General features: G+C 45.2%; 2 protein-coding genes across 53 annotated transcripts in view, besides 1 other annotated feature; both read right to left on the bottom strand.

The window, feature by feature from the left end:
• FARP2 (FERM, ARH/RhoGEF and pleckstrin domain protein 2) overlaps positions 1-3014 on the bottom strand; it is a 138557-nt gene extending 135543 nt beyond the window's left edge. For 6 of the 8 annotated variants that reach the window (XM_047446511.1, XM_011512233.1, NM_014808.4 and 3 more), the window contains exon 1: positions 2911-3014. The gene's annotated coding sequence lies outside the window, so the exon portion shown is untranslated. The remainder of the gene's footprint in view (positions 1-2910) is intronic. The other 2 variants (XM_024453259.2, XM_047446510.1) reach the window with 1 other exon arrangement.
• Positions 2677-3226: a silencer, noted in NCBI's record as "silent region_12537". NCBI's record gives its function as "represses an Ori minimal core promoter by ATAC-STARR-seq in GM12878 lymphoblastoid cells {active_cell/tissue: GM12878}" and the evidence as "EXISTENCE:reporter gene assay evidence [ECO:0000049][PMID:35858748]".
• SEPTIN2 (septin 2) overlaps positions 5272-18430 on the bottom strand; it is a 38673-nt gene continuing 25514 nt past the window's right edge. For 40 of the 45 annotated variants that reach the window (XM_024452920.2, XM_047444494.1, XM_047444495.1 and 37 more), the window contains 6 exons: positions 16206-16307; positions 15402-15547; positions 13050-13133; positions 11108-11165; positions 9096-9226; positions 5272-7332 (listed from right to left, as the gene is read on the bottom strand). In XM_024452920.2, coding sequence (XP_024308688.1) covers positions 9125-9226; positions 11108-11165; positions 13050-13133; positions 15402-15547; positions 16206-16307 — 492 coding nt within the window. In that variant the 3' untranslated portion in view covers positions 5272-7332; positions 9096-9124. Of the gene's footprint in view, positions 7357-9095; positions 9227-11107; positions 11166-13049; positions 13134-15401; positions 15548-16205; positions 16308-18430 lie in introns of all 45 variants that reach the window. The other 5 variants (XM_024452921.2, XM_047444496.1, NM_001349289.2 and 2 more) reach the window with 1 other exon arrangement.

The raw sequence follows: 18430 nt of genomic DNA, 5'->3' as shown, positions 1-18430 counted from the left end.
AACATTATAGGGCCTTTTTGTTTTTGAATTTTAAAATGGCAATAAGCTAAAACACCAGTTTAGGGGAAAACAATTCATGACTCTTAAAATAAAACCACTTACAACACTCTAACTACCCTCCTGATCCTGTTCACCTCCTCATGTATTTTTACAACACTATGATTGCTGTGTACACACCATTTCAACTTTTCAGTTAAGTCACATTTTAAAGCATATTTCCATGGATCAAAATGGTTCAAATTTTCCTTGGATGGGAGGATGGGATTCAGCTTGTGGAAGCATGTTTACTTGCTATGGAGTACTCTACCCTACTGACACAACAAAGTTTATCAGATTGTTTTGAAAAGTGTGATTCCAAAATCAAAATCTTTGCCACATACTGCTACTTTCCAAAAAGATTAGACCAATTTATAGAATCACTGTCAACTAAACGCTCCCCAGAAAATCACCAAAGACTGGGCTTTATCATATTGCTTTGTAGGATCCTCAACTTTTCAACTCCCTGTGGCATTGACAAATACGCTATGGTCAAAGGACTCTATATTCTGATCTCAGAGAACATGACCGGAATTACCTCAGCTCAGTATCCAACACTACAATGGGGTTTTGCCTGTATATCTAGCACTATGCTGTGTTTATGAAGCTCATGACGCACTGAGTAAAGGGGAAGCTGGCAAGCTGATATGAAAGTGGGTGAAGGAAAAATAAGAACAAAACTGAAAGGACAAGCAGCAGTAAGAAAAATCTGTTACTGTCCGAATATAGAAGAGGTATTGATGTGACTAGAAGCAGGGGTGTTTGGAAAGGAAGGAAGCAACTGAATTCTTTGGGCCAAATGGATTTAAATGAGCTCACATGGAATTGCCCATGCATTGATCTTTGCTTTGGCAATCCAGTTCATACCATTCCCTCTAAACAGGATAAATTTGCTTAATTATTGCCTAATTTTTTCTCTACTGTTTTTTGTAAATATCCAGGGTTAGCTTGTTCTACTTTCTACTCGGATTATTTGTCCACCTGATAATAATAATGGCTAACATTTATTAAGCACTTACCTTGTGCCAGGCATCTTGTTAACACAGCTTTTTTTATTTATTTTTTTATTTTTTTGAGACAGAGTCTCGCTCTGTCGCCCAGGATGAAGTGCAGTGGCACAATCTTGGCTCAATGCAACCTCCACCTCCTGGGTTCAAGTGATTCTCGTGCCTCAGCCTCTCAAGTAGCTATGATTACAGGCGTGCGCCACCAGCCCAGCTAATTTTTGTATTTTTAGTAGAGATGGGGTTTCGCCCTGTTGAGCAGGCTGGTCTGGAACCCCTGAGCTCATGCAATCTGCCTGCCTCGGCCTCCCAAAGTGCTGGGATTACAGCCACTGTGCCTGGCCAAGTAAATTTTAAACTCATTTTTTGAATAAGGAACCTGAGGCAGAGAGAAATGAATACACCTTATATCAACTTCCTCTTTGGGAAAGGAATTAGTATACAAGGAACCTGGAAATTTACTAACGACTGATAGTCCTATAGGTAAATAAGCCAGCAAACGTCTGCAGTCCAGGAAACTGCATCATCAGCATTTAGTTTGTTAACAGTGAACCACCTAATGAGAATCTGCAACAAGGATAGGGCACATGAGAAGTACAGATGGTATTTGCAAGTACCCTAGGTGTGACCCTAAACTGGTCATTCCACCTCTCTCAACCTCCCTTTCCTCTACTTTAAAACGGGGCTGTGCAACTTGGTCATGTCTCTGAAGAGTTTTGGAAAACTGAATAAATAACGAGCATGAAGTGCTTCCTAAACCTTTAAGGACCTCAAAAAACAAAACAAAACAAAACTTTCAACAAGCAGATGTAGAAAATTTAAATTATATTTGGCCTACAAGTAAAGGTTACTCCATGCTTCCCTACCTCAAATGTCCTCTCCCATCTCTCTGGTACTGAGAAAATCTGTGTCGCCTGTTATAAGGCAGTCTACACAAGACCAACACGCTAACCCACTGCCACCTCAGGGTTATCAAACATTTACACAGTGGCCCAGACAAAAATATCCCACGGAAACAAAACAAAAACAAAAACCCAGAGAGAAAAACCACCCTTTAAAGATTTGGCCTTGGGTTTTAAATTTGCCCATCCCTTTTTAACACTATGTATTGACAATCTTTCCTTCAATGATGCCTTGTTCTAATTTCTGCTTTTCACATCCATTAATGGCACATGATAGGCCAGGGGTTGCTGCCATAGCGTAAACGGAAAAGGTGCCCGTAATTCGGGTGTGTAATGTACTGGGCCATATTCTGGTCCCCAGTTTTCATGGGTTTCCCAAAGGCTACCCACTGGCTTATGAGTATTTCTAGCCCTTAGTGGAGTAAAAATATTAACACCTAACACTTGATTCCCACCTTTAAGATACAATTTAAAGAAATGCTAAAAAGGCAAACGGCTCAAAATGCCTCCACCAGGCACCTCCAGGCCCATACCCTGCGGGTCCCTATGGCCCACTCTGGGGTGTCCTTCCGGGATGGGACACTCCCCGGCCCACGGCCCTGCCGGCCTCCACGGGGCACAACTCAACCCGCGAGTCCACGCGGGACACTCCCCGGTCTACAGCCCCACCGGCCTCCTCCACGCGGCACCCCTCAACCCGGGAGTCCACGCGGGCCACTCCCCGGCCCACCGCCCCGCCTGCCCCCACGCGGCAGGCTCCCTACAGACGGACGCTCCTCTAACCCGGACCCGCCTAGGAGCTCCAGCCGCCTCACGATGGCCTTCAGAGGCCGGGCGGGACCATCTCTGGTGGACCGCGGCCTCAGCGCCCCCCCCGCCTGGGCCTCTCGCCTCGGGCCTCGGGCTTCGCCGCCCACCCGGAGAGGCCCACCCCTGCCCCACGCGCCCAGGCCGCTTCACGTCCTCACCCTCGGCCTCTCGCTCGCCCGCCGCGTCCTCACCGGCCTCGCCCGGCCTCCGCAGTCGCAAGCAGCAGCCGCCAGACTCGCGTCGGCGTCGCCTGCTCCCAACTGCCCGCCGGCAGCCCCCGCGCAGCGCGCCCCGCCCTGACCCCGCCCCCGCGACGCGGACGCGCAGTCGATTGGCCTGCGGGGCGCCAGGGCGGAGCCTTCCCGTCCCGCGGCCTGAAAGCGCAAGATCGAGTTCTGATTGGTGAACGGACGGAGAAGGGGCGGGAGCAGGCAGGCAGCTGCGTAGGATATAAATCTGTGCAGCGCTCGGCTCGTTGGGCGGGGCGTCGGCTTGCTGAGCGAGGCAATGTCCTAGGCGAAGCCAAGGCTCGCTGGGCGGGGCTAGATCTTGGGCGGGGAGTCGGCTCGTTGGGTGGGGCTAGGTCCTGGGCGGGGAGTCGGCTCGCTGGGCGGGGCTAGGTCCTGGGCGGGGAGTCGGCTCGCTGGGCGGGGCTAGGTCCTGGGCGGGGAGTCGGCTCGCTGGGCGGGGCTAGGTCCTGGGCGGGGAGTCGGCTCGCTGGGCGGGGCTAGGTCCTGGGCGGGGAGTCGGCTCGCTGGGCGGGGCTAGGTCCTGGGCGGGGAGTCGGCTCGCTGGGCGGGGCTAGGTCCTGGGCGGGGAGTCGGCTCGCTGGGCGGGGCTAGGTCCTGGGCGGGGAGTCGGCTCGCTGGGCGGGGCTAGGTCCTGGGCGGGGAGTCGGCTCGCTGGGCGGGGCTAGGTCCTGGGCGGGGAGTCGGCTCGCTGGGCGGGGCTAGGTCTTGGGCGAGGTCTAGGCTCGCTGGGCGCGGATAGGTGCTGGGCGAGGCCTAGGCTTGCTGGGCGCGGATAGGTGCTGGGCGAGGCCTAGGCTTGCTGGGCGCGGATAGGTGCTGGGCGAGGCCTGGCTCGCTGGGCGGGGATAGGTCTTGGCCCGGGCCTTGCCGGCTGTCCTTGCACCCTTTGGCTCAGTCCCTGGCTGCCAGCCTCCTCCTTCCTCCAACGCATTGCATCCCTCGTGGGACTACAGGGACCGAAGGGGATCATCGAAGGATCGCGCGAGGCTGTGCTAAGGCTGAGACAGGCTGCTCCGTGGTGGCGGCCAGGACGGCCTTCCTCTGGCCTAGGGACCCCCACCCGAGAATGGAAGACTGACTTGCTGTGGCACACTTCCCTTCTCTTGAGAAGTTCATTGAACTCCTATGTGTTCTTCAAGACCCTACCCATCGTGCTCTCCTAGCCCGGCCCTGTCACCCACTGTCACCATGTGGCTGTTGAGGGAATAATTAACTTCAGGAAACACCCGGGCACTTAAGAGACTCCTCCTATGGTGCTGTGGATTCCAGAGTGAAACCTGACCCTTCGTTTCCCAGAAGCCCAGACAGGAGAAATGCTGGCTCAGGGGAACCTCCATTTCTCCTGAGACAACTATGGGGTCTGAGACCCAGGCACACCAAGACTGGGCTCAGCTGTGCGGGATGCTCCCCTCATGTGCCACCCACCTCTGGGGCTTTTCCTTTAACCAACCCCCAATGACACCACCAGGCCCAGAGTGGTGCACACACCCCAGAACAGAGGATCCCTGCCTGCAGACGGGCAGGGCCGGGTGGGGATAGTGCAGGTGAGAGCCTGGCCAGAGGGTGGTACTGACCCCTGGTAGGATGCAGGGTGTGTGCTGGTGACCTGAGGCTGGCAGTCTGGAGGGAAGGCAGCAGGCGTGGCAGCTGTCAGCTGAGGAACTAGAGAGAGCAAGTTTCAGTATCCAGGGGTCTGTCTATAAGGAAGCTCAGAAAACACTGATAGCAAGGTAAAAGGGGCCCAAGGTGGTCCTGGGATGATCAGTCCAGTGGGCAGGAAGAAGGCTAGAGGCCTTGGAGTGTAGGTGTCCAGCCACCCAGATCAATTCAGGTTTCCAGTTTCCTTTACTCAAGTGGCAGAGCCGCCTTAGCCTATTCTTGAAAATTTATAGGTTAGAAATTTCTTCCTAGATATATTTCAATCATTCACTTATATTTCCAGTAATTTAGTAGTTGCTATTATCAATGCGATTTCTTTTCTCACTACATTTTCTAATTAGAAAATAGATATCACTGACTTCTTAGTGTTAATTTTCACCAGATGTCTTGTACTTTCTAAGTAGATGTTCTGATCACCTGTAAATAATTCCTTTCCAATCTTTTGTGCTTTCTTTTGGGCTGGATCTCCAATACGTACAAACTTGTCCAGTACTGACACTATTGATTCAAGTAATTTTTCTTGATTTTATACAAAGATGTTGTCAAGACTTTGAATTTTCCCAGAAAACCTCACAACTTTCCCTTGCAAATAACCAAGAGAAATACTCATTTAATATCTAAACAATAGTGCTTTATTGATAAAAGGTTAGTTTAAATGGATACAAAATTGCTGTGTAAAATAAGTGTTTTCAAAATACATTTCTATAGGTAGAGACTATGTCTTAGTAAAAGAGCAGTTATCTATTATCAAAAGTATCTATTTAGATTTGGGTAGTAAAACCAAAGGGGATCAGAAGTGTAGCAGTGTGGGTCCTCCCTCCCTGCATAGCTGTTACCAGGAGGCAGCGTGCCTGAAGTACTTTCACTCACATATGCGGGGCTTAGTCACTAGCAAACTTGTTTTTCTTTTTTACAGATTTTCCAGCAAAGTTATTAAATGTCAAACTCAAATAATGGACTCCGCATGGATGTACTCTGAAGTCATGGAACACCACTTCTTAGTTACCTTCACACAATAAGCCATAACATATAGCTTTTGGCTGTTCACAATTAAGCAACAGTGAAGGGCAAAGTTAGCAAGAACACCAGATTATTTTCTGTAGCACACCTTCATTAACTATTATTATTTAACTGCCTCATTTTATGTTTTTTCTAGCCCCCACAAAAATGAAAAAACCCTGTCTCATCCTCAGATTAAGCATTTTCTCCATCTCCCTACACAACCATTGTCTCCTTTCATCTGTCAATTTCTGGGGTTGAATTTCCCAACTTCAGTAGAAATGATAAAAAAGGCAACCGCTGGAGTGTACCATAAGGAGACACAAGAAGAAAGGTGACACTAAGGCTACAGTGCACAGAAAACAGACCAGGTGTGGCTTCGACTGTGCGGACCTGCCCACTAGCCTATGCTACAGATTTGAAATGTCTTTCACTTTGACATGACACACGGTTTATATTACACAAAATGAATGAAACGACAATGGCTAAAAATAAATGAGACAGCCTGCACACAAAAAGATGATGACTGCTACTTTCCTCCCATCAGAAAATTACTCAAAAAGGGAGTATTTAAAGGAAACTCAAATCAGGAGAACCCGGTAGGCATCAGAGGTTCAGGGCACCAAGGCCTTAGGGCGGGAACACTTTTCAACCCAAGCCAGGCTTCAGGGGCACGCCCACCAACAGACCCCAATTTCCACAGGGGAGGCAGATCTTCTATACCTACAGTGACAGAAAATACACTAAAGTGCAGTATAAAATATAAAAAGGTTTGATTCTGAATAGACCAACTGCTAATTTTCCTTAAAAAAATTTTTAATTTGGTTGAGTAAAAACCAAATTAGTTCACTGAATCTCATTTTGTAGGTAAGAGTCTTATTTGCAATACGAAAACTGGAGCTTATGACTGCTTTGATTTTCTCTGTAGCACAGGATAACCAGTATTAGTGGAGAACACTACAAAAGGTGGCTTGTGGTGAGTTCTTTGCATAGTGGTTTTAAAAACAACCTAGCATCAGAATTAAGAGACTTCTTTAAAACTCACCTCTAAAAAAGCTGTTTAAGTATAAAGATATATCTCATTAGGAAATTCTATTATGTTTTATTTGGTTAACAGATAAAATCGCAGACGAATCAACAGTATAGAATTATAGCAGCAAAACTGGTTTTAGGTGTTGTGTACAAACATAAAAGCAAGGAAGCAAAGATCTCCAAGTGGTGTGATGTGGTAAGCAGATGGCCTTGCACCAAGTCAGTGTATCTTTCTACATCACTAGGCACACACCTCTACCACTAAGGAACATTATGGTAAATCTGAATGTTCTAGATAAAAATCAGGAGTGCTCATCAATGGTTAGTCAGTTGTTAAGTCAGTTAAATCAAAGAAATTCAGTATTAAGTATACATGCCGATTCTTGGAAATCAATTCTAACATTAGTGGTTAGGGAGAAAGAAAAGGAAGACATTCACCTCACAAAACACAGAGTGTGACACAGCAATGAAATACATACGTTAAAAGTACTTCATACAAAAACACATCAAAGTCTTTTAAAAATTAAATTCTCAGGCACAGGTACTGTTAAAATGTGGATGGCACCCTCCCAAGGATTGAAAACACACAGCTGGATCATGCATCTGGAATGTTTTCTTTTTTATCCAGGAAAGTGTTTTCTAGAAAAAAGAAAACAAAACACACTTAAGTGGGAGTGAGGCAATGTCTGCTGCGTTAATTATTAACAGTTCTACTTTTCTCCTTAACAAAGGTCATAAACTGAGCAAAAGGCAGGGCTTACATGACCACAAAGTTAACTAAACCAAAAAGCCATTCATGAGGCTCCTGGAAACTGGAAATGCTGCAAAACTAGAAAGTATACAGAAATAAAATTTTATCGATCTAAAAGTAAAATTTTCATTCCATAAAGGTTGAAAATGAAGCTCAGAGAAAATAAGCAAACACCTGTCACTGCTTCCTGCTTCAAATGAGCTGCATCGCTGAGGCATCCTTGTCTCTTTCCACTGTACCCTCACTTCCCCAGTCACATGCCATTAACTGGTTATGCAGGACCAGCCTCTAGAGTCAGCAGGCCATCGTTTAAAAGTCATGGCACCATCAGCAAATACTTTTAAACTCTCGGAGCGGCAACAATTTCCTCATCAGTAAAGTGTGAACTAAGCACATACCCTCAGGACTATTCTAAGGTGTCACTGTGATGATGAAACTAAAGCAACCAACTTGGACTCAGTTGGGGGTGACATGGATGTTTTCCTTACAGTAACTTATTAAACTGTACATACGTATTTTTGTGCATTTTGTGTAAATACCGTATTTTACAATGAACACCTTTCCCACTAAGCTGCAAGAGCGTTTGGTGACTAAGGCTCCAGCAAGTCACTCTGGGTCCTTCCTCAGCCACCTGTCCACATGCTGTGGAGGCCTCAAGACTCCCTGCCTTCTGCCTAACCCACCCTGCCGTATGTCGTTGAAGGCTCAAGTCCCCTCCCTGTTTTCATGAACACACTCATGCTTCCAGAATGAGGTCCCTGAATTGTAGTAGAGACCTTCTACCAAATTCCCAGCGTTTCATCCTCAGATCTTGGCCAACTCAAACTCTCTTTCAAGCTCTAATCAGATCTCTTGTATGAGGTTTGTTTGCCTTTACCCCAGCTCCATGTGACCTACCCTCTTCTTTGGACTCTTAGGTCATTACTTAACTTTACCTTTCATGCTTTTCCTCTGGCAAGTGATGGGAGTGGCCACCTGGACAGTTCAGAGAGCCTGCCTGTCCATAAGATACATAAGATACAGGGGAGTGGGCATCTGCCTTTTCCTGGTCCTGAGTCTCTGGAGTCTGCAGATTCTTTTCAAGCAGGCAGACCAGCATACACCATGCCAGACAGATCTATTCACTAATGACCATCAGTCGGGACAAAGCTATCTGAGGAACAGGAGGTCAGCAGTCACCATCCAGGGAACCCTTATCTACCTCACATAATTCTTCTTCCTTGTGCCATCTCTACTTTTAATCTGTACAAGCTGTTTTAATAACACGTTTTTATTCCCTTTAAAGAGATGTTTTAACAATTAACAAATTTCCAATAATACAACTAATAAAAGTGCTTTAATACATAATTTCCTTCTAATGTTGGTATTTGCAAGCTTAGAAAATAACCTGCAAATGTACCCCAATAAAATAAAAGTTGAAATTATTTAAAAAAAAAAGAAGAGACAAAAATATGAAAAATCTTTACTAGAAAGTAGGTGGCAAAGTAGTGGCTTCTGTTTTTCAGGAGCAATCTCTCCTTGTTTAAGATTAGTGATGGAGTTACTTCAAAATGCAAAATATTAATGAGGCTTAAGGAGGAACCTGTCATATTTAAGCTGACACAATGTTAGTAACTGCCTGTCTTCCAGGCTAAGGGACAACAGGGCCTACCTCTGACTTCTTGATATGTGCACATCACCTTACACGTGGTGCCCGAGAGCCCCGCCATCGCCATCCCCGCCCTGCATCTGCATCTGCATCTGCGCCTGCATCCTTGCAATCATCTCTTGCATGCGGCGGAGCTGTGAACACACACACACATTATAGGTTTTCAAGGTTTGCTGTCTTTGAACATTATTTCTGGGTGTTCTGTGATTCCTAAAATTTCAACTTCTACACCTTCCCAAAATATGACAGGAGTTATTACATAAAGACTTTTTACCAATCAATAAAAAAAGCAACAGCTAAAGAGAAAATCAAGTAAATGATACGAATATGCAAGCCAAACAGAAACAATAACCAAAGAAAGATAAGACAATATGATAAATTTTCTTAAGACAGAGTCTCACTCTGTCTCCTAGGCTGGAGTGCAGTGGCGCAATCTCGGCTCACTGCTACCTCCGCCTCCCGGGTTCAAGCGATTCTCCTGCCTCAGCCTCCTGAGTAGCTGGGATTACAGGCACACACCACCACGCCCAGCTGATTTTTGTATTTTCAGTAGAGACGGGGTTTCACCACATTGGTCAGGCTGGTCTCAAACTCCTGACCTCGTGATCCACCCGCCTCCGCCTCCCAAAGTGCTGGGATTACAAGCGTGAGCCACCGCGCCCGGCCAATATGAGAAGTTTTCTAACCTAAAAGGAGGGAAAGAGACTGATGACAGTGAGAAATGCAAAGTAAAGGGGAATGGGAATGAATCAGCTTTTCTGGAGGGCAATGAAGGCCTCACAATAAAAATAATATATATACATACATATACATATATATATATTTTTTTTTTTTTAAAGGGATGGGATCTTGCTCTTTCACCTAGGCTAGACTGCAGTGGCACAATCATAGCTCACTGCATCCTTGAACTCCTGGGCTCAGGGGATCCTTCTGCCTCAGCCTCCCGAGTAGCTGGGACTACAGGTGCATGCCGACATGCATGGCTAATTATTTTTTAATTTTTTTCTAGAGAACGAGGGGGGTCTCACTCTGTTGCCCTAGCTGGTCTTAAACTCCTGGCATGAAGTGATTCTCCCACCTTGGCCTCCTAAAGTGCTGGGACTATAAGTGTAACCCACAGTGCCTGGCCAAAAATAGTAAATGTTAATTCATCTTTATCCTTATCATTATGATTTGTATGTGTTCAGAAATGCCTCCAGGAAAGTATTATAAAACATTTAAATTTTCTTCAGGTGACTTTGTGGTTATTTTTAACATTTAAATATTTGATCAATATTGAATTAATTTGACCAAAGAAGTATTTTCTTTTTGTTTCCAAAAGGCTAGCCCATTATGATCCTATTGTTTACTGAATAATGTGTTTGCCTTCCAAAACTCCAGCAGATCTGAATGCCACCTTTACAACAGAGCATATTTCCATATTTATGATCTACTTACAAATATCAGTGACATTACTAAATTGTCTCCAAAGTCTTTCAGCTAAATATATGAAGCATCATGTATGCTATGTAAATATCCATGTTTATTATTATATATAGATGTGTATATATAGTAATAAAGTAGTTATATGTATCCTCCTCAACAAATTAAAAAAAAAACTATAAACTTTAAGTTAATTACCAATGATATCTACGGATGTAAACAAAACACCTTCAGTCACAAGAATAGTACTTTTTGGCTGGGCACGGTGGCTCACACCTGTAATCCCAGCACTTTGGGAGGCCAAGGTGGGCAGATCACCTGAGGTTAGGAGTTCGAGACCAGCCTGGCCAACATGATGAAACCCCGTCTCTACTAAAAATACAAAAACAACTAGCCAGGCATGGTGGCGGGCACCTGTAGTCCCAGCTACTCGGGAGGCTGAGGCAGGAGAATCACTTGAACCCGGGAGGCAGAGGTTGCAGTGAGCCGAGATCACGCCACTGCACTCCAGCCTGGGCAATGGTGCAAAACTCTGTCTCAAAACAAACAAAACAACCAACCAACCAACCAACCAATAGTACTTTCCTACTTACCTCAGCTTCTTTTTCCAGCAAGATCTGGTCTTTATTCATGTCCTCATTCTCCACTTTCCTAAGAATCGAAAGAAATCAGAATCATAACACTGCAACAAATAGTTATTTGCTACCCCCCCAAAAAATTCTACTTTAAAATTTAAAATGACATGTATTTATCATTTCTCTTTTTATATTGAGATGGTGTCTCACTCTGTCGCACGGGCTGGAGTGTAGTGGCATGATCTTGGCTCACTGCAACCTCCACCTCCTAGGTTCAAGCAATTCTCCCACCTTAGCCTCCTGGGTAACTGGCATTACAGGCACGTGCTACCACGCCCAGCTAATTTTTTTTGTGTTTAGTAGAGATGGGGTTTTGCCACGTTGGCCAGGCTGGTGTTGAACCTCAAGTGATCCGCCCACCTTGGCCTCCCAAAGTGCTGGGAATACAGGCATGAGCCACCACGCCCAGCCTATCATTTTTCTAATTAAAGATATAATGAATAAAAAGGGAACAGAATGATTTTAAAAAGTTCGAACAACATGAAATGGAACATTCAAGAGACTTTTCTTACTCTAAGCTTGAGCGACAACACTTGCTGTTACCCACTCAAAAATAGGTATTATCTGAAGAATTTGCTTTGAGATGTTATTCTTTATTAATGCGAATGTAGTCACCACATTTAAGGAGCAGGATCTGCGTGAGTGAACGAGGGGCAAAGGGTAAGCTCCCCAAGCACACCTGAGAACTGTGCTCTGCAAAGCACACTAATCTCCATCTCAGGGCCAGCGCCTACTCAGCTTCCAGAGGGTGGAATTTTCTTGCTGCCTCTAAAATCTTTCTTAATGTCTCATTTCCAAACTCATAATTAGACTTCAATGTGTACAACATATGTATCTAGAAATCCATCAAATTATTAGAATGTGAGAATTTTAATGAATTACAACACAGGAAACTTTTGTTGTTGAGACAGGGTCTCACTCTGTTGCCCAGTCTGGAGCGTGGTGGTGCGACCATAGCTCACTGCAGCCTGGACCTACTGGGCTCAAGGAATCCTCCCCCTAGTAGCTGGGACCACAGGCATGCACCACCACATCTGGCTAATTTAAAAAAAATTTTTATAGAGGCGAGGTCTCCCTATGTTGCCAGGGCCGGTCTCAAACTACTGGGTTCAAGTGATCCACTTGCCTTGGCCTCCCAGAAAACTTATATAAAAACATATTAGAATGGTTAAAAAGAAAAGGTGAGTGAGGATGGCTGCAGGACTTTGCGAGGATCGAAGCTGCTGCTTCAACGGCCACTGGCTGCTTGGATGCCACTCATCCTGGCCTCACCCTTAACTCAGGTGCTGCAGTTTCCTAATGGCAACAAGTTTGTCCTCACGTACAGAGTGATGCTTTTGAAGGAGAACTCGACACAAGCCTCTGGCCTTTCCATCTAAAGTTTTTGTTTGTTTTTTGAGACAGGGTCTTGTTTTATTGCCCAGGATAAAGTGCAGTGGTGCAATTATGGCTCACTGCACCTCCCAGGCTCAACTGCTCCTCCCAACTCAGCCTCCCGAGTAGCTGGGATTATAGGTGTGTGCCACCATGCCCGGCTAAATTAATTTTTTTTTTTTTAAATTTTTGTAGAGATGGGACTTCACCATGTAATCTCATGGTCTCAAAACTCCTGCGCTCAGGCAATCTACCTTGCCTTGGTCTCCCAAGGTGCTGGGATTACAGGCATGAGCCACCGTGCCTGGCCTAAAGTTTTTACGTGCATATCATTAAATGTACTTTTTCTTAAAAAGGCTAAAAGAGCATAATTTGATTAAATTAACAACTCTTTTATAATAACTTTTGAGTAGGAAACCAAACCATGTTGCTTAATGGTCAAGAAGGCTGAGCTGAACACATAGAGGAGGAGGAACATTGTGGCTCAGGGTGACACAATACAGAGAAAGGGGCACAGTGTGATGACCTGCCGCCTCTCTTGAGTCTCTCAGAACGGAAGTTTTCATAATGAAGGTCCTGGGTCACCTCCTGGAGATCCTGCATGTGGGTGCTGAAAGAGAAGAGGAATGCACCAAGGTGGCATCATGCACATGACATTCTCATGAGAAAAAAAACCACCCATCAAGTACATAGAAGAAATAGCAGTAATTAAAATTACTTGGTAAATTGTACATAAAGCTGCTGGGATTTCAGGATAATGAGTATGGCCGTGGAAATGTCTAGTGAGGTGTAGCTCTCCCTTTCTTCCCCAATAAATGATATACAAACACAGGTCTCGACTGAGTCTCTCAGGGGGATTTCTGCTAGAGGCACTGCCACCCCTGTGTGAGGCCATCACTACCACAGGATGGCAGACAGATTTTAAGAGATTTTCAGGTCAACAATGTCTGAAATAGAAGACACTCTTCTAAAAGGACTTACGGAAAATGTAATGAAAATATTCATGCCTCCTATAACTCAAAATTTATATATTACTCTCATATGAGAAAAAAGAGTTGGTTAGCTTAAGCTATGTACAAGACCATAAAGTGAAGGACTAATATTCTGGATCCAAGAATATTAGTCAGCAACTTAACCTTCCATTCATCTTATGAAGCACTCTTAAAAAATTTTTTTTAATTGCCTAGCTTATTCAAAATACTTAAAAGCAGGCAAGAATGAGCAAACATTGTAACACGTTCCTATTGATTCAGGATCCAGGGAAATGGATTGAGATAGCCAAGGAGTGGCTCACTCTACCTCATTGTGAGAAACACACAACTGACACTAAAGTAAAGTCCCCAAACCCTGTCTTCAGCCTCTACACCCCCCTCAATAATGGGGATCAGGATAGCCACAAGGATGCAGCCCTGGAGGGGCTGAGTGCGCTTAACTTCTTACACAACCATTAAATTGTGTTTGACACAGCTTGGATGGTAACATGCTTACTTATTTTAACTCACTACAAATTGCTAAACTAAGTGAGACATGCGGCAAATATGTAGCGACTTTCAGCTAATCAAAACACTGATTTATCCACATCAGTCATTCTTTGAAGTCCTCTGATTAAAGAGGTATAGTTTAAGCAATACTCTCAGCCTGTTCTTTTTGGTTTTTTTTTTTGAGATGAAGTCTTGCTCTTGTTGCCCAGGCTGGAGTGCAGTGGCGCAATCCCGGCTCACTGCAACCTCCACCTCCAGGTTCAGGCGATTCTCCTGCCTCAGCCTCCCAAGTAGCTGAGAATACCGGCACCCACCACCACACTCGGCTAATTTTTTTGTATTTTTAGTAGAGACAGGGTTTCACCATGTTGGCCAGGCTGGTTTCACCATGTCGGCCAGGCTGGTTTCACCATGTCAGCCAGGCTGGTTTCAAACTCCTGACCTCAAGTGATCCGCCCGCCTGGGCCTCCCAAAATGCCAGGAGTACAGGCATGAGCCACCGCACCCGGCCTCAGCCTCTTTTTTCAAGAGTAAAAGCAATGTATGCATGTTACAATATGTGAAATTTATTTATTTAATTTATTATTTTTTTGAGACAGAGTCTCGCTCTGTCGCCCAGGCTGGAGTGCAGTGGTGCAATCTTGGCTCACTGCAACCTCTGCCTCCTGGTTCAACAGTGATTCTCCTGCCTCAGCCTCCTGAGTAGCTGGGATTACAGGTGCGCACCACCACGCTTGGCTAATTTATTTTTTGCACTTTAAGTACAGATGGGGTTTCACCATGTTGGTCAGGCTGGTCTTGAACTCCTGACCTCGTGATCTGCCTGCCTCAGCCTCCCAAAGTGCTGGGATTACAGGTGTGAGCCACCACGCCCAGCCATGAAATTCATTTTTAAAGAAGACTATTTTTGTAGTCAGGTCTGTAATTGCTATTAATAATAAATGGAAGACACAAAAAGCTAACCAGGGCCATACAATGAGTCTCAGACTGGTGAGCAGGGCACCAGGGGTGGCTCAGCCTGGAGCAGTGGACCAGGGGCCTATACAGCCTGACTGTTTCCTTACCAGCACTGGGGACCTCTCAGACCCCAGTTTAGGTTCTAGTCTCCTTTTCTCCTTTTAACATCAAAGATGTAAGATCTTAGCAAGAAGGAAAGGTACTGCAGGCTACAGGCCACAGGCAGAAGCGCTAGTTTAGTAGTGCCACAGAGGGCCCCTGGGTGAGGGTTCTCAGCACCAATCTGCAACAGCCCCACACCACTTCTGCGATGTGAGAAACACTGAGGGCGGCAATGAAGCTGCTGGCTGCAACTATCTTGGGGGCCAAGTGTACACCCCGTCTGAAATCCATATTCTTCACGCCAAATTCTGCCAGAAGGAACACACCAAATGTCTTACATGAGCATGGTTCTCAGCTTCAGAAAGTCATTGTGCTCTGGGTTCTCCACTTCCACAACACCCCAGGGGTAGAGGCGGCCTCTGACCTTCTTTCCTTTGGCTTCAATCAACTGATTGGATCCAACCACAGAGAATGGGATGCTAGCCTAGAAAGAGACACACAGAGTAGACAGGCTCCACACAGGGAACCCCAGAGTTCACTGGCAACACGAGAACATTAGCACAGACTTAACACATTGCTGTTGACTACAAAACTGAATTGGAAAGCTGGGGGTATGTAACATTTTCTTGAAAAGTGTCAGATACTTTCTACATGGGACAAATTGTACGAAAACAAATTAAACCTACAATAAAATTTCTAAGCTTTAGGTGATAGCTGTATCAAATTTTTTTTTTTTTTGAGACAGAGTCTTGCTCTGTCGCCAGGCTAGAGTGCAGAGGCGCGATCTCGGCTCACTGCAACCTCTGCCTCCTGGGTTCAAGTGATTCTCCTGCCTTAGCCTCCCGAGTGGCTGGGACTACAGGTGTGCACCACCACATCCACCTAATTTTTGTATTTTTGATGGAGATGAGATTTCACCATGTTGGCCAGGATGGTCTGGAACTCCTGGCCTCAACTGATCCATCTGCCTTGGCCTCTCAAAGTGCTGGGATTATAGGCATGAGCCACTGCATGAGGTCTTAAAATATATTGAAAGCAAAAATACTCTCGTAACTGAACATACCCAGGCAATCTCTCTCACCTCAACATGGACAACAGTAAACAGGAGTTATTTATGTTGTGGATCTGAAGCCAGTTCTTACCTTGAGAAGTCTAGTCTGCTCTTTAAAATCTTCATCTTCATCTGATTCTGCATCAGGTAAGTGATAGATTTTGATGTTATGTTCTTCAATTTCATCCAGAATCTGAGAGAATGACAAAACCAGGATCAATTTTAGCAAACTGCGTATGTTATTGTAGCCAATTCTAGCTCATCTTGTAAGAAATATATTGGAAATCATACAAATGTCAATAATCAAACTGATGACGAAAGTTACTGTCAAATAAATTTATAAAACTGCGGCCGGGTGTGGTGGCTCACGTCTGTAATCCCAGCACTTTGGGACGCCGAGGCAGGTGGATCACAAGGTCAGGAGATGGAGACCATCCTGGCTAACATGGTGAAACCCTGTCTCTACTAAAAATACAAAAAAATTAGCTAAGCGTGGCAGTGGACGCCTGTAGTCCCAGCTGCTGGGGAGGCTGAGGCAGGAGAATGGCGTGAACCCGGGAGGCGGAGCTTGCAGTGAGCTGAGACCACTGCACTTCAGCCTGGGTGACGGAGCAAGACTCCGTCTCAAAAAAAAAAAAAAAAAAAAAAAATTTACAAAACTGCTAGAAAGGTATTTATACTTGAATTTTGAGGATCCTCTGTACAGAATAAAAATAACATTAGCAATAATGCACCACTACCCTCAATGTACAAAGCAGCAGGAAGACTAACGATAGCCCCAGCACAACAGCTAAAATGGAAATCACACCACAATCAGCCTCAAGAAGGGTAATTGCCACAGAGAAGCTACAGGCATGAGAAGACCCTGGAGAACAGGCAGGAGTCTTAAAAGCAGAGAGAAGGGAGAAGTACCCCAGATGGAAAAAAAGGAAGAAAGAAAGAAAAAAAAACAAAACCTCGTCAAAGGCACAGAGAGGACACATGGGGTGCATTTTGAGAATAAGAAATTCAAAAGGTTGGAATCTAAGACATCCAGTTGGATAAGGAAACAAAAATTGGAATTACAAAGTGGAGAGTTCCATCAACACCAGGCTAGCGACCTGGGGATCTGTATTTCATTCAACAGGCAGCCAGCAGTCAGCAGTGAAATCCCACAATCGGACCTATCAAGCAGGCAGTAGTGTGGGGGATGGGGCTTGAGGGGAGAAAGAACTGGGCTGAAGTTGAAATACGAATGCATTCATCAGTCAATCAATTAAAACCCTAGCACTCAAATGCTCATTGCATGGTGGGCATTCTCACAGGCACCAGGCAGGCCACAGTTTTGTTTGGTCTCACCTCAGTACCTGAGCCATTCAGGGAAGAGAGAACAAGAGCAACGTGAGCAGAAAATATCCCGACCTCAAACTGTGCACTGGATTTGCTTTCTGGTTTTTAAGAATGGAAAGCCTTAATGTGACCTAAAAAGGGCCTTGAATGGTCAGAGATTTGGTCTTAGTACAATGTCTGCACTAATTCAGAACTCCAGAAAAGGCCCTCCTCTCTACATCCTTTACTCTGTAACTCGACCTTCAGTCTTTTCATAAATCCTTATTCCTAAATGGGAGGAACCATCTTATCTCTGGGAGAAACTGAGCAATAAGAAGCATGAACTTGCTCACCTGTCCTCATCTTACGGCCCCTTTCCTGGTCTACTATCCATCCATGCTAACCTCATCTTTTGTCCTATGCTGGCCTCATAAAGATGGAGCTTACACTTTGGAGGAGAGAAGAGTTCGGAAACAGTTAGTAAGCTATTTAAAAGTGAGCAGAGGAGTCAGAAGTGATGAGTAAAAAATAATTTACACATTTCTCAGTCTGGATGATTTCAAGAATTGTGGGACCATTTAAAGAGACAGGGGAGCTGGAAGGACAGGAGTCCATCAGTGGTCAAAAGAGGACTCCTGTGGGTAAATGTGGTTCACAACAAGAAATAAGATACCTGGAAGGGCAAATCAGAAGCCACAGAAATAATGTGATCAAAATAATACTAAGGAATACTGACCTTCAGGGATCAGGAAGGAAGGTGGTAAAAAACAGCAGATAGAAAAGCAAACACAGTGGTTCAGCAGCCAAGGAAGGGAAGTTTCAGAAGTAGAATTGCCAATCACACAAACCCCACAGGTGGGGCCCACATCTGAGAACTGAACTGTTGGCCAAGCCCATGAGAGAGCAATTGCAGGTGGATGACAGGAAGCCTGAGTGAACAGGATCATGGGGAGGGCAGATAACAGCTACCAGTAAGTGTCTGACTAGAAGAAAGGCTGGTGAAGGCAA

Source organism: Homo sapiens, chromosome 2 (genome assembly GCF_000001405.40).
Source record: "Homo sapiens chromosome 2, GRCh38.p14 Primary Assembly".
NCBI classification, from domain to species: domain Eukaryota; kingdom Metazoa; phylum Chordata; class Mammalia; order Primates; family Hominidae; genus Homo; species Homo sapiens.
This window is presented reverse-complemented; position numbering and strand designations above follow the sequence as displayed.